General features: G+C 45.3%; 2 long non-coding RNA genes across 5 annotated transcripts in view; one reads left to right on the top strand and one right to left on the bottom strand.

Moving 5' to 3' along the window:
- LOC105373612 (uncharacterized) overlaps positions 1-480 on the bottom strand; it is a 45,936-nt gene extending 45,456 nt beyond the window's left edge. The window contains exon 1 of one of the 2 annotated variants that reach the window (XR_007087235.1): positions 337-480. This is a non-coding gene — a long non-coding RNA (uncharacterized LOC105373612). The remainder of the gene's footprint in view (positions 1-336) is intronic. The other variant, XR_007087234.1, reaches the window with a different exon arrangement.
- Positions 1-1,528, top strand: part of LINC01854 (long intergenic non-protein coding RNA 1854) — a 31,719-nt gene extending 30,191 nt beyond the window's left edge. For all 3 annotated transcript variants that reach the window (NR_122041.1, NR_122042.1, NR_122040.1), the window contains one exon: positions 51-1,528. This is a non-coding gene — a long non-coding RNA (long intergenic non-protein coding RNA 1854). The remainder of the gene's footprint in view (positions 1-50) is intronic.
- The last annotated feature ends 15,435 nt before the right edge of the window (positions 1,529-16,963 follow it).

Below are 16,963 nucleotides of genomic sequence, written 5' to 3'. Positions count from 1 at the left end.
TATAGAAACCTTAATAAATCTAGCTCATGTGACTTTTCTCTTCTTCCTAGGTTCTGCCCACAGGGGAGATTGTGACCTATTGCTGGCCCCAACACCAAGTCGAAGTTACACATTTGCCTTGGCCTTGCCCTGAGAAGGTGCTGTGACATATTGCTGGGCCCAGCACCAAGGTGATGGGACTCTCCTCTTTCTCCTGGAACCTGTCCACAGTGGGGATTGTGACATATTGCTGGGCCCAGCACCACTGTGATGTGACTCTCCTCTCGTGCCTGGGGCCAGCCCACTGGGGTAATTGTGACATATAACTGGACCTAGCCCCTAGGTTATGTGACTTACCTCTCCTTCCTGAGCCCTGCCCACAAGGGGGCCTCATGACATATCTCTGGACCCCTCACCTAGGTGATGTGAGTCTCTTGCCTGGGCCCACCCCTCAGGGTGTATAGTGACATATTGCTGGACCCAACACCTAGGTGATGTGACTCTTTTCTACTGCTTGGCTCTGCCCAAGGAGAAATTGTGATGTATCACTGGGCCGAGCACCTAGGTGATGTGACTCTCCTCTCCTGCCTGGCTCCAGCCAAAAGGGGGGATTGTGACATATCACTGGACCCAACACCTAGGTGATGGGACTCTCCTCTTTTGCCTGGGCCCACATATTTTGGGTATTGTGACCTGGGTGATGGGAGCCTACTGCTTGAACCCTACCCAGAGGGAGCTTTGTGACATATCTCTGCATCCATCACCTAGGAGATGTGACTCTCCTCTCGTGCCTGGCCCCAGCCAAAAGGGGGGATCGTGACATGTCACTGGATTCATCACCTAGGTGATGGGACTCCTCTTTTGTCTTGGTCCCACATACTGTGGGTATTGTGACATAATGCTGGGCCCAACACCTGGGTGATGGAAGGCTCCTGCCTGGGCCCTGCTCACAGAGAGCCTTGTGACAGATCTCTGCATCCATCATCACCTAGATGATGTGACTCTCCTGTTCTGCCTGCACCCTGCCCATGGGGAAGATTGTAACATATCCCTGGGTGCTGTTCCCAGTCTTGCCTCATGGCCTTTGCCCCAGCTGTGTCCTCTGCCCTGCAGGATGCACCTCTGCTCCGTGTGGCTCCCTCCCACTCTCACTCTCCAAATGCCCCGAACCCCTGAGCCCCACTGCAGCCCCACTGTACCCTGGCTCTGCAGCGCTGCTTCTTCATGATGTGTGTCTTCCAACAGCAGACGGGGCCATGAATGTGGATGCCTCATTCACTGCTGTGTGCCGGCATCCAGAGCAGGACTGGAGCCCAGAGCAGGCACCTGACTGATAGTTGTTGAATGAGTACAGTAATGAATGACAATGAAAGCACTGTGTAGAAACACTGGCTGAATAGTACCTAGAAAGAGAATGTCTCAAATACCTACATTAGCAATGAAAAAAACACTGCTAATTAATGAACTAAGCATCTAATTCAAGAAACAAAGCAACACATCTAACTTATAGAAAAAGTGAAAAAAATAAAAAACATAAGATCAAAAACTGATGGAATGAGAGCATCAAGAAAAACAAGTTCCTTCTTTGAAAAGCGCTGTTCAATAATACCTTCTGCAACGTGAGGACATTCTGTGCTAACTCAGCAGCCACTAGTCACGTGTGTATTCAGTACTTTAAATGCAGCTAATCCTCTCACTGAGGATCTAAATTTTTAATTGTATTTAAGTTTAATTTTAATCCATTTAAATAGCCATATAAGGCTAGTGATACTGCATTTGACAGCACAGTTCTAGAATATTTCAATACAGTGTTCCCAAGTTGACATGTATAATAATTATTGTGGGAACATAATGGGGGATAACTAGATACACCCTAAATGACTACCAGCAGTAAAAGGCATTAATAAATTGTGATAGATTCATGTAATATAAAATTAAAGTTAAAAATGATTTACTAGAGCTGTGCAATTGAGTGATGTACAAATCCTAATGCTCAACTGCTTCAAACCTACAATAACAGCAGTTTCAAGGATTTCAGCCTAATACATTTATAAATATATTTAAATTCCAAAAATATTCAATTCTGTGTCAAAAGCAAATTGCACAATCATATTTAGAGTAACATGTTACTAAATATTATTTAGAGTAACATTTTAAAACTCTACAAATTAGCACTTTATGTTTTGAGGATGGGAATAGATGCAGAACAATTGTTTATTGATACTTGACACAAATGTTCCTATCTCTGGATGAGGGACACGGATGCCCTCAAGGAGGGGTATGCGAGATCCTCAGATTGCTTAAAAATCTGAAGCCAACGGACAACATATTCAAACTTGCTAAAGCTGGTGGTGAGGAAATGGGTGTTCATTATTTTATACAATTTCTCAAGTAATAAGAAGGAGACAACAGGAAAGGGAAGGAAAATAAATCAAGTCTCCAGTGCTCTGTTTCCACAGCCTCTGCAGTAGACTTCCTGGAGCCCTTGACTGTGGTTGCAGCACAGGAGGCCTGTGCCTTGCAGAGGCAGCAGGCACAGGCGGCCAGGAACATGGCCTCATCTTGCCCATCTCCTGTAGAATGGGGCCCTTTCGGTGTGAGGAGGGCATGAGGAAGCATCAAGGAGAGCGTGGACAGGCTGCGAATCCCTTAGTGTCCCCTCTCAGTCTCCCTGGAAGACTACAGTGAGGGTCTCAGGTCACCTGGCTGAATCTCACATCACAGTGAGCAGCGTAGCTGGGCCTGCCACCACCATGGAGTGAAGGACCTCTCATAAATGGCTTGGAATCATCCACCTATCATATAATGCACACACCAACCAGGAAGGTCCAACGCACATCTTGTTACTTCCAGGAAATCACTTTCTGCCCTGCAGACCTCTCCCTTCTCCAAAGGCCATGTCTGCCCGATCCCCACTTATCAAAGGCAACTGGCCCCATCCACCTCACTGCCTGGCACATGCAGCCAGCACAGGGCCACCTCTCCTGCTGTGACGGGGCTTATGTCACCACTCTGCCTGCCCCTTTGGTGTAGTTTTCCTTGCTCTTGTTTTCTCTGGGAAAGGAGGTCTCACACAGGTGGACATTAGATCATGGTCCTGCAGTGGGGGAGCTTCTGGGATGAGGCTTCCTCAGCTGAACCCCAGATGGGACCAGCCGGCTCAGTGCCAGGCAAGGAAGAGCTTCAGCCTCCCTTTCTGGGGCAAAGCCTGTGCCTGGGAGTTCATGGCATGAAGGGACAGAACCAAACGAGGGTCCCCCAATGTGGCAAATCCCCAAGAGAAAAGAAGGAGAAGCTAACTGAACACATGCACCCAGCTTCTACTCCCAAATGTACCAGTTAGATAATTCACTCCTCCTTCCCTCACAGAGAGTGTGGGGGCAGAGAGGAGGCCCTTCTGCATGGAATGAACAGCTAAGACCTTCCCCTTATTTATGTTGTGTTGGTATTTGTTGCTATTTTGGCCAGCAAATGGGCTAGGCCATTTGTATTCACTTCTCCTTTTGCCCTCCCCTCAGTAGCACGAGGTATGAACTTTCCTTAGAATAGAGATGACAGTAACAGTGGGTATCAGAGCTGTGCTTAAAATCCAAGTCCAACTTGGAGCCAGAGCTTCTGCTGGAGAGCAGACTGCTCTGTGACTGCAGGTACGAGGTGCGGAAATGAGGGCCTGTGGGCCCTGGGTGCAGACCCCATGCGTGGGCCTGGACCCAGCTCTGTTCGTGGGATTGTGGGTAGGCTGGATGCTGGGGGTGGGAACCCCACTGTCAACAGTCATGGATTGGCCTGCCCTGAATCCTGTGAATGCCGCTGTAGGGGAGGGGACCGGGAAGGGAGGAAGAGGCTGCTAGCTGATCTTGGTATAGGACTCTCACTGTGATTCCAACCTCTCTGGAGACAGATCAGCACTGGGTGGGATGTCAGGGCTGAGCTGACACAGTTCTCTCCCCACAGTCAACTCCACCAAGGGTCAGTTGTTCTGGTGGAACGACTGTGTGCCCATAGTCTAAGATAAATTATCAACAACAAGTCTGTTTAATGAGCACAGACATTTGGTTGAGAGCATAATGAAAATAAATCTGCAAAGCATTTTCAGCTGATTTCCCCATTTAGGGTCTGTCATATTAGCATGGCTTTCTGGTTTACAAAATAAGCCTACATGAAGGCACAATTAGAACCTCCTGAAAAATCTTTATTCCCTTTCCTTGTTGATTTAAAATATGGCTTTCCTTATTCTTCCTCAGCACCCTGGCACAGAATGCAATGTGCTCCTAACCCCACCCTGTCTGCTCAGCCCACTGAGGACTACAGGAATGAAAGCCTGGGCTCTGCCAGTCACTGGGCAGGTGCAGAGAATGCTGTTGGGGCAATCCTGGCATGGGTTGCTGCCTTCTAGAACCTGTGTGTGGATTCAGATGTCACTGTCTCTCAGGATTTTGGCAGGAGAGCTAATTTTGATACAAGATACACAAAGAGAAAGCATACCTCTCTTTTCACAGCCAAGCACAAGGCTGCAATGTACAAGGGATACAGAGATCCGACCACTGAACGCCTTACATTTTATGCACAAAATGCCTCCCTTCTCAGATTTAAAAAATAAAAAAAAGCAAGTGGGCTGGGCACAGTGGCTCATGCCTGTAATCCCAGCATTTTGGGACACCAAGGCAGATGGATCGCCTGAGGTCAGGAGTTCGAGCCCAGCCTGGCCAACGTGGTGAAACCCCATCTCTACTAAAAATACAAAAAATTAGCCAGGCGTGGTGGCATGCGCCTGACATCCCAGCTACTCGGGAGGCTGAGGCAGAAGAATTGCTTGAATCTGGGAGGTGGTGGTTGCAGTGAGCCAAGATTGTGCCATTGCCCTCCAGCCTGGGTGACAGAGCAAGACCCCATCTCTAAGTAAATAAATAAGCAAGTTATGATTTATTTCCACAAATTATGCCAGAGGTGGGGGATGGGAGCATGCCAAGGTTGTGCCCCCACTCTATTTTCTAACTTCTTTATAAGGACTTTCAAATAGAAAAAAGTGGAAAGAACTTGAAAGCAAACACCCGGATACCTGCTTTAGTTCATTTTCTGCCACTCTAACAATACCAGAGACTGGGTGATTTACAATGAACATAAATTTATATAGCTCATGATTCTAAAGGCTGGCAAGTCCAGGAGCATGGTGCTGGCATCTGGTGAGGGCCTTCCTGCCGATTCATGACAGAGCAGAAAGCATCACATGACTAGACAGCAACAGCATGCATGACAGCTCAGCTGTCGCTCCCTCTTCTTATAAAGCCATCAGTTCTGATGACCTCTGTAAATCCTAATTACCTCGCATGGCCCCACCTCCCATCAACATATGAATTTACGGATTAAATTTCCAGTACATAAAATTTGGAGGACGCAATCAAACCAAAGCATTAGTCCCTCACCCCTAAAATTCATGTCCTTCTCACATGCAAAATACATTCACCCCCATCCCAATAGCTCCAATGTCTTGACTCATTCTGGCATCAACTCAAACATTCAAAGTTCAGAATCTCACTTGAATCAGATACATGTGAGACTCAAGGCATGATTCATCCCATGGCAAATCCCATCCAGCTGTGAGCCTTTGTAATCAAAATGAGTTGTCTACTTTCAAAATACAATGATGGGACAGGCATGGGATAGATATTACCATTCAAAAGGGAGCAACAAGAAAGAAGAACAGATAACTGGTCCCAAGTACAAAACCCAATTGGGAAAACAACATTAAGTCTTAAGACTCCAGAATATCCTTTCACTCTATGTGCTGCCTCCCGGACACACTAGTGGAAGGGTTGGGCCCGCAAGGCCTTAGGCAGCCCCACCCCTGTGGCTTTGGTGGGCTCAGTCCACACTTCAGTGCTTCCAGGCTGGTGTTGCATGCTGGGAACTCTACAGTTGTGGGGTCCTGGTGGTGGTCCCAACTCTGTAGCCTCATTAGGCATTGTCCTAGTAGGCACTCTCTGGGGTGGCTACACCCCTGCCACAAGTCTCTGCATGGGCCCCCAGGTTGTTGATATATCCTATGCAATCTCAGTGGAGGCTGCTGTGCCTCCACAGCTCTTGCTTGCATTCTGCACACCTGCAGAGTTAGCACACCATGGTCTTCACCAAGGTTTATGACTTGTACCTTGCAGGGTAGTGGGTCAAGCTGCACCTAGACTCACTAGAACCACAGCTGGTGCAGCCAAGCATTACTGCACCAGAATACAGGGATCAGAGACTGGACCCAGGCTGTAGCTCATCTGCTGAAATTGTATGTGCTGGAAGTTTAATTGCTGAATTCATTTTGATTGGAGGCAGGCCATTGAGAGGTCATTAGGACTTTAAAAGATCATTAGGATGAAGCCCTGGTGATGGAACTGCTGGTTTCATAAAAAGAGGAGGAGACACCTGAGCTGTCATGCACAGTGTTGCAATCAAAGATCTCTAAAATGCCTTCGAGTTTTTCCCCCATTGTTTTGATGAATAGCCTCTGGCTTTGTTCTATCCACACTAGTTTTCTTATCAGTCAGTCACTTGGTCACACTCTTGGTTTCCTCTGCTGAAAATGCTCTTTCATTCTCTACCGCATGGAAAGGCTTTTTTTTTTTTTCAAATCTTTATATACTGCTTCCCTTTTAATTATACATTCCATTTCAAGTCATTTTTTAACTCCCACATCCCACTGTCTACAGTTAAAAGTAGCCATGCAGCAGTTAGAATGCTTTGCTCCTTAGATGGTTCTGCCAGATATCCTAGTTCATCACTCTTAAGTTCTACATTCCATAAAGCTCTTGAGCATGGATACAATTCAGCCAAGGCCTTTGCAACTGTATAACAAGAATGGCAAGGATGGCCTTTACCCTAGTGTCCAATACCTTGTTACTCAGTTCATCTGAGACCTCAGCAGAATGGCCTGTACTGCCCAGATTCCTATCAACATTTTGGTCATGGCCACTTAATCTCTAAGAAGATTCAGGCTCTCCCTAGTCATGAAGTATTCCTCTAAGTCCTCACCAAAATTGCCCTTAGTGCTCCATTCATGTCTTTACCAATTAGTCATTTCCAAAACTTTCCAGGTATTTCCACATTTCAGGTATTTACAGCAACCTTTTCAGGTATTGATAGCAACAGCTGGGTACCAATTTTTTGTCTTAGTTGGCTTTTTGTTGCTATAATTGAATAACTCACACTGGATATAAAGGAAAAATTTACCTCTTACAGTTCTGGGGGCTGTGAAGTCCAAGATCAGGTGGCTGTGTCTGGTCAGCTTCTGGGGAGGGCTTTGTGCTGCATCATGATATGGTTGAAGGCAACACAGTGAGAGAGCAAGAGCATGTGTGTCAACTCAGGTCTCTCTCCTTCATCTTACAACCCCACAAGCCCATCATGGTAACCCCAGCCTGATGACTTTATCTAATTCCAATTAGCTCCCCAAAACCCCACCTTTGATCAGCAAGGGAATTGGGGGATTACATTTTCAACACATGAAACTTGGGAGATATATTTATACTACAGCATTACTTATCACCTAACCTCCACAATCAGTAGTTTGCTTTCTTTGTTTTAATCAGTTTCTATCCGTCCATCAAATAATCTTATTTTCAATCCTTTTCAAGGCAAGTTGCAGACACCCTGACAGAGCATCCCAAATACTTCAGCATGTGTAATATTAACTAGCACTCTACATGTGTTCATGGTTCTTGTTTCTATAGATAAATTTATACAAAGTGGAATACACAGAGCTTCTGTGTACCATTGCATGTGTACGGTACAATGTGCACAGCTGTGTAAGACAAAACCTCTTCAAGATGTAGAACATGACTCCACCCCAGGAAGTACCCCCTGCCCCATGCATCCATCCTCACCCTCATCTCCACAAAGGCTGTTCTCCATGGTTTCATGTTTTCAGAACAAAAAATGTTTTCCCTCATTCAGAATTTCACATGAGAATTTATACTCTGCATAGTCTTCTGTGTACAGCTTCATTTATTCTAGTATTATGTTTTTGAGACTCTTTTACATTATTGCATGTAAACACACTTTGTTCCTTTTAATTTCTGAGTAGTATTTTATTGTATGAATAGATTCCAGTTTATTTATTCACTCTCCTGTTGATAGATACCTGTGATGTCTCTATTTTTTGCTATTTTGAATAAATGTAACATAAAAATTCTTGTATATGGCTTTTTTTGGAAGACATGTTTTTATTTTTCTTGGATAAAATAAATTCCAAGCACATTTATGTAGCCTCCATGAAAGGCCCCACAACAGAGGGTGGAGTGCATCGTAAAAGAAATCAGGGCTATTTCTGACCCTGGGGCCACAGTGCTGCAGGGAGCTAGACTCACCTCCACCTCCTCACCCTTTACCCAGGACACCTAGAGTTTGCTGGAAAGAGTTGGACAGGAATGGAGCCAGAGTTTAATCTTTTCCGACGGTGAGGAAGTGATTGCTTTTCTCTTTAGTCTATGTCTGTGGACATGCTGGAGACATGCCACTCCAGGCAGGCAGCTGGGACCCTAGCAATGGAACCTTATGTCCCCAGTCAGTGGGGCCTGGCAGAGATTTCTGATCCAAAGAAAACACTGCTACCCTGAGTGACTCAAGAGTATAAAGGGTTAGGTCTCAGTCCAGGTTTCTGACCCAACATACAACCCGCATTGACTCTGTGTGTTCAATATACACCACCCAGTAGTAAAATCAAGAATAAACAACCTTAACCAACTCTATCTTAATTACAGAAAAGTTATTACATTTATACAAAATAATACCCTCACAGCAGAAACAGTGCACAAATCAGTACATGCACCATCAGCCATCTGATCCCCAAACGCTCTTTTTTCTAACCCTACACCCCAAACTCCATGTCTCAGAAAACAATAATTGGTTATTATTATCCCTCACAGTTCTGTGGACTAATTGGGCACAGTGAGTGGTTCTCTCTCTGGGTCTCTCAAGTCGTTTAAATCAGATGGTGTTTGGCCTGGAGTCATCCAAAAGGCTTGCTCACTCACAGGTCTAGACATTGATGCTTGATGGCACCTCAGGAGGGGATGCTGGGCAGAATGCTTACATGGGACCTCCCTGTGTGGCCACAACAAAATGTGGCTTCCTCCTGGCTTGGCAGCTGGGTTCCAAGAGCAAGCATCACAAGGCAGAGAGAGCCAGGCTGAAGCAGTAATTCTTTTTAAGACCCAGCCTTGGAAGTCACCCAGTGCCACCACATTCTATTCAGTTGAGAGGAATTACCAAGGCCAGGACACACTCAAGGAAAGGGGACTCGGGCTCCACTTCTTGCTGGGAGGCATGTCAAATAATTTTTAGATGTGGTGTGAAGTCATCAGTTTTTTAAAAAGCCCTATGCACTGTACTGCCATAGGAAAACAAAACAGAGAGCCAGGCGCTTGGGTGTCCATGCTTAGAGAATGAATGTGTACATGCTTAGAGATCCTGACCTGCAGATGTCACCAGAGCTGTGTTTCTTGTAAGACTCTACAGGATGCAGGGATGCTGTTAAACACAGCCACCACCCTTGGCTGCTCGGTCTGTCTGGGCATGTGCCGCACTCACTGCTCCCATCATTAATATGCCAAAAGGGGTCCATGCCACTCCCCACTTGCCTTTTTTCTCACAGCAACATGGAATGGGACAAGGGAGTCTCTGGCATCCTTGGCAAGGGCAGTGGTCAGTGAGCCTAAGAATGTGCTAAGTGGTTGTTGGAGTTGATGTTCTCTGTAACTCCTAAGGAAAGGAAGCTTGTGGCTTGCAGTGTCCGTGTGCAGGATGTGAGTCAGATCTAAAGGAATAGATTCTTACTGTCACTTTTGATATTCCCTAACTCCCTAACCCTAAATCTAATTCATGAGGCGAGACTTCCCCAGTAAAAGGAACCACTTGCTAAGACAACAACAGCAAATGCCTGTGTTCTATGTGGCCAGTTCCCTTCCTCTGAGTCCCTGGTAGACACGACTAGCTAAAAAGATAATTGTTTTCTTGCTGTGCCTAAAAGTATGCATATGTGTGTGTGTGTGTGTGTGTGTGTGTGTGTGTGTGTGTGTGTGACTATGGATAGAAAATTCAATGGCAAAAAGAATGCACCTATTGCACTGGGCAAGCAACGTAACTTTTCTGAGTCCCAGGTTGCTTTCCTGTGAGACAATATTAATGCCTGCCTGTGGACTTCTGCGAATTGAATGCATCACTAGGGATTTTGAAGCAGGAGGGGCTGTTGTTATTTGTGATCAGCACTGCATGGCAAGGCGGGCAGCGGGAGCCCCGCCGCAGGCTTCTGTAAAGAAAGCTGCTGGCTGAGCGCTCCCAGTGTGGCAGCAGCTGGCACGTCTTGTCCTCTAGGGTGTTGGGACCCAGTGTACCATCCAAGGCTGGGCTGGCAGCTTCTCTGTCTATTCTTCAGTCGAATAAATGTCTTTCTTGTCTTAATTACCTCCTTGAGGGCTGAGCATGCCGGTTCTCAAGCTAAAGGGCTAGAGCACTGGAAAGTGGGAATTGTAATAAAAAAGCAACCCTCCCTTCAAGTGGTACTTCTTCCTAATAATGAAGGCTCTATGCATGCTCTCGTCTTGTAAATAACTTCTACCTGGGTCCTATTCGCCTCTCAGCAGCTTTTTAGGAGATTTTGTTGCAAAACATTTTCCACAGAAGTGGAACTGAGACAAAAACAAGGAATGTACTGATACAGTGTTCCTTTTCAGGGTAGGTAGTGGGTGTGGGGAGGGGATAGAGGAGGAGAGGAGAAACTAGCTTGCAAGCTCCAGTTTTTTTTTTTCTTTTTTATTATACTTTAAGTTCTGGGATACATGTGCAGAACATGCAGGTTTGTTACATAAGTATACACATGCCATGGTGGTTTGCTGCATTCATCAACTAGTCACCTACATTAGGCATTTCTTCTAATGCTATCCTTCCCCTAGCCCTCCACCGCCTGACAGGCCCCAGTGTATGATGTTCCACTCCCTGTGTCCATGTGTTCTCATTGTTCAACTCCCACTTATGGATGAGAACATGCGGTGTTTGGTTTTCGGGGGTTCCTATGCTAGTTTGTTGAGAATGATGTTTTCCAGCGTCATACATGTCCGGGCAAAGGACATGAACTCATCTTTTATGGCTGCATATGGCTCCATAGTGTATATGTGCTACATTTTCTTTATCCAGTCTATCACTGATGGGCATTTGGGTTGGTTCCAAGTCTTTGCTATTGTGAATAGTGCTGCAATAAACATCTGTGTGCATGTGTCTTTATAGTAGAATGATTTATAATCCTTTGGGTATATACCCAGTAATGGGATTGCTGGATCAAATGGTATTTCTGGTTCTAGATCCTTGAGGAATCGGCACACTGCCTTCCACAATGGTTGAACTAATTTACATTCCAACCAACAGTGTAAAAGCGTTCCTATTTCTCCACATCCTCTCTAGCATCTGTTGTTTCCTAACTTTTTAATGATCGTCATTCTAACTGGCGTGAGATGGTATCTCATTGTGGTTTTGATTTGCACCAGTTCCAGGGGGCATGGCTGAGAAAATGACAGGTGCAGTGAGAGAAGGCCTGGCCAGCAGGATCATTGCTGCTGGGAATCCATCCCACCTGTGAGCCCGCACCCTCAAAACCCATCTGATCCGATCTCCAGTGAGAAATAGGAGCACTCGTGGAAACCTTCTAGGCCATTTAATCCACTGGCCTCTTTCAACAGATGCAGAACCCAAGGTTACCTACCCAGCTTGAGTAGGCGTGTGGTCTGGAAACCAGCTCTCCAGACTCCAAATGTAGGAAAGAGACTCGAAAACAGTAAAAAGAGCTAACATGTTTAAAGTATTTACTTTTTCCAAGCACTGCACTACACATATGAGACCACATAAGTCATTTTAAGAACTCTAGGCTGGGTGTGGTGGCTCATGCCTGTAATCCCAGCACTTTGGGAGGCTGAGGCGGGTGGATCACCTGAGGTCAGGAGTTAGAGACCATCTGGCCAACATGGAGAAACCCCATCTCTATAAAAATACAAAAAATTAGCTGGGTTTGGTGGCGTGCACCTGTAATCCCAGCTACTCAGGAGGCCGAGGCAGGAGAATCACTTGAACCTGGGAGGCGAAGGTTGCAGTGAGCTGAGATCACGCCATTGCACTCCAGCCTAGGCAACAAGAGTGAAACTCAGACTCCACACAAACAAACTTTATATGGTAACCACATGTGTTAACCTCATTTCACAGAGGACAGACCTCAAACACAGCAAGTTAGAAAGAATTGTCCATGTTTAGATGCCACAAATTAAGGCGACCAGGATGCCCCTAGTAATTTTTCTTAGAGCCTGCACCTTTATCCACTACACTTCGATAACAGTCTAGTCATGATAGCAGTTGCTGTTACTGATATCCTGCTGTAGGACAGGCAGTATACCAGGGGCCGTACATGCACCATCCTATTCAGCCTCTACATCAGCCTTGTAACATCCATCTTTCACAAATGAGAAGAACTGAAACTCAAATCATTAAATCCAGGGCCCTCTTCCACTTACTTGTGCTCCTGAAGGCAGGGTGCCCTGGAGTGGCAAGGACATATATCTGACTGCTTTCCTTGCTTCTTCATTCTCAGCCAGTTGCATATGAATATCTCTATTATACAAACACTACTTTAAATCATCTTCAGTCTCCTGGGATCAAGGAAAGAAAAGTTTAAAATGTAGCACTACTTATCCGGTGTTCAGCTAGTTTAAGGTCTTTCTAGATTTGGCTTGGGAGGTCAAGAGGATAATTACAGCCTATTTGGCATATCAAAGAATGAGAAAAACTTATTGAACAGGGTAAGGACAGAAGTCTTCTGTTTTTTGTTTGTTTTGTTTTGTTTTAGATGGAGTTTCCCTCTGTCACGAGGCTGGAGTGCAGTGGCATGATCTCAGCTCACTGCAACCTCCACCTCCCAGGTTCAAGCAATTCTCCTGCCTCAACCTCCCGAGAAGCTGGGACTACAGGCGTGCAATGCCATGCCCAGCTAATTTTATATTTTTAGTAGAGACGGGGTTTCACCATGTTGGCCAGGATGGTCTCAATCTCTTCACCTTGTGATCTGTCTGCCCCAGCCTCCCAAAGTGCTGGAATTACAGGCGTGAGTCTTCTGTTTTATAATAAAGCATTTGGCTGGCCTTGTCCCCGATTCCTGGCAGGTGTCCTCTATGTCCCTGGAATGATAGGAGTGTCTGTTATTCACGGCAGGCCCCCTCAGATCACACCTGAGTTGAGTTTATGTTAATGAGGTAACTCAAGTGGGCACCAAAATACTTTCAGAAAAGGGGTGGACCATGCTGAACAGACCAACCATGTGATTAGAGATTGGGGTTTTGAGCCAGCTGAGCTTGGCCTGACCTCCCAGGAGAGGAGGGGGACTGCAGACTGAGTTTAATCATGTGGCCAATGATTCAGTCAGGCCTATGTGATTAAACTGCTGGGAAAACTGGCCCCTGAGGCTCGGGTGACTTTGTCTGGTTGGTGATGTACACAGTCGTGCTGGGAGAGGGTACACCCTGAAGCCATGAAGCTTCACGTGCAGAACCCTCCAGAGTTCACCCGTGCAGTCTCCTTTTTACTGGTTCAGGCTTGTATCCTTTTGCTACAATAAAACTAAGCACATAAGGAGGGTGCTTCCCTGAGTTCTGTGAGCTGCTCTAGCATATTATCAAACCTTAGGAGGCAGCAGGAACACCCAAATTTGTAGCCAGTTAGTCAGAAGTCAGCTGGTATCTGAAGTGAGAGCAGTCTTACAAGCCGAGCCTTTAACCTGTGACGTCCGTACAAACTCTGAGTATGTGGTGTCAGAAATGCATTCTACCTGTTTCTTCCCAAAGTGGAGATGTGCAAGAGCTTTTCAGAACAAAGGGCAAAGGCCCTTTTTGTTCATCACAACAAAAAGAAGGCTACGAAGGACTCTGTGGGTTCAATATCCCCCCAGTAGTAATATCAAAAACAACCTTAACCAACTCATCTTAACTACAGAAAAGTTATTACATTTATACAAAATAATACCCTCACAGCAGAAACAGTGCACAAATCAGTACATGTACCATCAGCCATCTGATCCCCAAACACTCTTTTTTCTAACCCTACACCCCAAACTCAGTGTCTTGGAAAACAATAATTGCTTATTATTACCCTTCACAGTTCTGTGGACTAATTGGGCCTAGTGAGTGGTTCTCTCTCTGGGTCTCTCAAGTCATTTAAATCAGACGGTGTTTGGCCTGGAGTCATCCAAAAGGCTTGCTCACTCACAGGTCAAGACTGATGCTGGATGGCACCTCAGTAGGGGATGCTGGGTAGAATGCTTACATGGGACCTCCCTGTGTGGCCGTGGCTTCCTCCTGGCTTGGCAGCTGGGTTCCAAGAGCAAGCATCGCAAGGAAGAGAGAGCCAGGCTGAAGCAGTAATTCTTTTTATGACCCAGCCTTGGAAGTCACCCAGTGCCACCACATTCTATTCAGCTTGCAAGCTGATGTGAGAATTCATGTAAAAAATGGATGGTAAGAGACAAATAGATTGCTTAGCACATAGAAGGTCTTCAGTAAAATATTGGAATACAAAAACATTGCTCAACTTCCAAGGCATAGCCAACATTATGGCCCCCATATGTTCTCCCAAAATTCTGCTTGCCAAAGACCTCCATCTGAGTTGAGTCACCCTGGGACCTTGAGAGCCAGTCCATCAAGAGAAGGGACCCAGTGTCTCTTAGGGATGATGGGTTGGATGGGTTGTGGGAAGCAGGAGGTCCCTCATGACATGGAAGACAGCTGCTGCAGAGGCTTGTTGAGGGTGGGAGCCAGACTGCAAGGGCATGAGGAGAGGGTGCTGAGGATGCAGATGAAGCTTAGCTGCACAGTGGCAGGGTGGTGGTTTGAGAGGGGAGGAAGGTCAACTTTTAGTTCAAAAACTTCCAACTCAGAGATTGACTGGATCTAATGACAGTCAAGTGATTTCCACAAATGAAAGATTTTCTTTTATAATTCCCCAAATTGGTTTGTAATGAAGAGACTCAATCCTAGCCTTATGCAAATCTGGAGCACTTACATCTAATTCTTTGTTCCAGCCCCAAGGAAGAAATGCATCAGTAAGTGTCACTTACTGATCACCTACCACATGCCAGACATCTCATGTGCTTTATGCATTAGGTAATGCAGGAGCTCCTCCAGGAAGGAATTCCTAGTCTCATTTTACAGGTGATGACTCTGAGGCTTACAGAGTCCTCCTTATCTGCTCAAAATCAAAAAAGGAATTAGTGGAGGGCTCTGTTGGATGCCCTTTGATCTTTTCACTACCCCACAATATTTCTGTAGACTTGGTGGAAGAAGATGTGGGTACCTAACCAAAGAATTCAGATTATTTAGTCCACAAGGAGGAGGAAGGAAAGAAGATTATAGAATTGTGCAGGACCTAAAGAGGAGAACATGGATTTCAAGTTCATTCCTTGTCCCACATCTTAGAACTCCTGTGGTAGTTCCAAACCTGTCAAAATGCTTATAACCAAGACATGTCAAAAATTAGAAACTGTTATGAGATTTAGCTAATTGGCTAAACTAATTCAACTGAATTATCAACAACTGTTAAGAAGAATTCTGTTTGTGTGTCAGCTAGATCTCTGAGCTGTTGCAGTGAAGTTGTGAGCATCCTCGTGAGGCCTTACATAAACCACTCGTGTGCCCCACCCACACATGGGAGTATTAACTGACAGGACCAGTTCAATGCAGAGGCGGGGAGTCCAAACCTAATCCACTCATGTGCAGCTGAAATGTTCTGGTATCTATATTTAAGAAGTAAAGAGAGTTAAGTATATGAGTATACTTCTATACTTACTATATTTAAGCATATTAAGTATGATATAGATGCTTATATGTAAGTGTGGGAGTGAATATTTAATGATTTTCATGTCTAATGCTAGCTTTCTAGTAAACTTTATTCTCTTATGCAGGTTTTGGGGGAGCTGGCTGACATATTCCATTTTAATCATCCCCAATCATTATCAGTCATGGGGTTTGTTTCCAAAGTGGTATGAAGTGAGAAGAGACTATATACTGAGGCTGGACGAGGAGCCAAAAGTTACGTGGAAGGCCAGGAGCAGGACTGTGAACCAGAGGGGACGTTGTCTTAGGCAGGAAACAGGACCCAGAGTGGGAGGCAGGTGGGACCAGGAAGAAGCAGCTGGAATGGTGCTGCAGGGGTGTGGGGCTGGCTCCATAGGCCCAGCTTCATAGCCTAGATCTCCCTCACAGCTGCCGAGTGAGTGTGGCCACCTTGCCCCAGCTACAGCATCCCATTCATTCGGACACGCTGCCTCCCTCACCCTTTTCTGCATTTGAAATATGTCTTTCTTCTACAATAATCATGATTTTTATTTCTTAACAGTTCATAAAACAGATGTCTTACAGTTAATAGTGTCAATTTCAATAAACAGAATCCGAGCCTTGATTTTATTATATGTAAAATGCTAAAGATGATACTTAACTCACAGAATCCATAAGAGAAAAAGCAAGATAACATGTATAATACATATGCCAAAAAAACACAGATGTTATTATTGCATATTATAATCATCGAGTATCTGCAATTGATGTGTCAGACTAGCTTAAAGCCCACCGTGCTGAGAGTGACATTTTTTAACAAATTTACTGTTAACCTAGACTTTTGCTTTGTCACTCTTGAACATAGTCAATCATCCATTGGGTTGACAAATGGTCTCCATTTTCCACACATCCATCCACCCATCCATCTATTCATCCATGCATCCATCCAGTCACTCCATTAATATTTGTTATCTTTTCACTTTCTTTTTACATTTCACCTCCAATATACTTCTTCCTCTAAAGTCATTCCTTAGGAGTGCATTTCCACTTCCTAATGAGAAGAAACATCTCCCTCCTGCCTAACCTCTCTTGGCCCTCACAGACAGTTATTTTATCACCCTCTTTCTTTTATCACCCTCCAG

Source organism: Homo sapiens, chromosome 2, assembly GCF_000001405.40.
Source record: "Homo sapiens chromosome 2, GRCh38.p14 Primary Assembly".
Lineage (NCBI taxonomy): Eukaryota > Metazoa > Chordata > Mammalia > Primates > Hominidae > Homo > Homo sapiens.
This window is presented reverse-complemented; position numbering and strand designations above follow the sequence as displayed.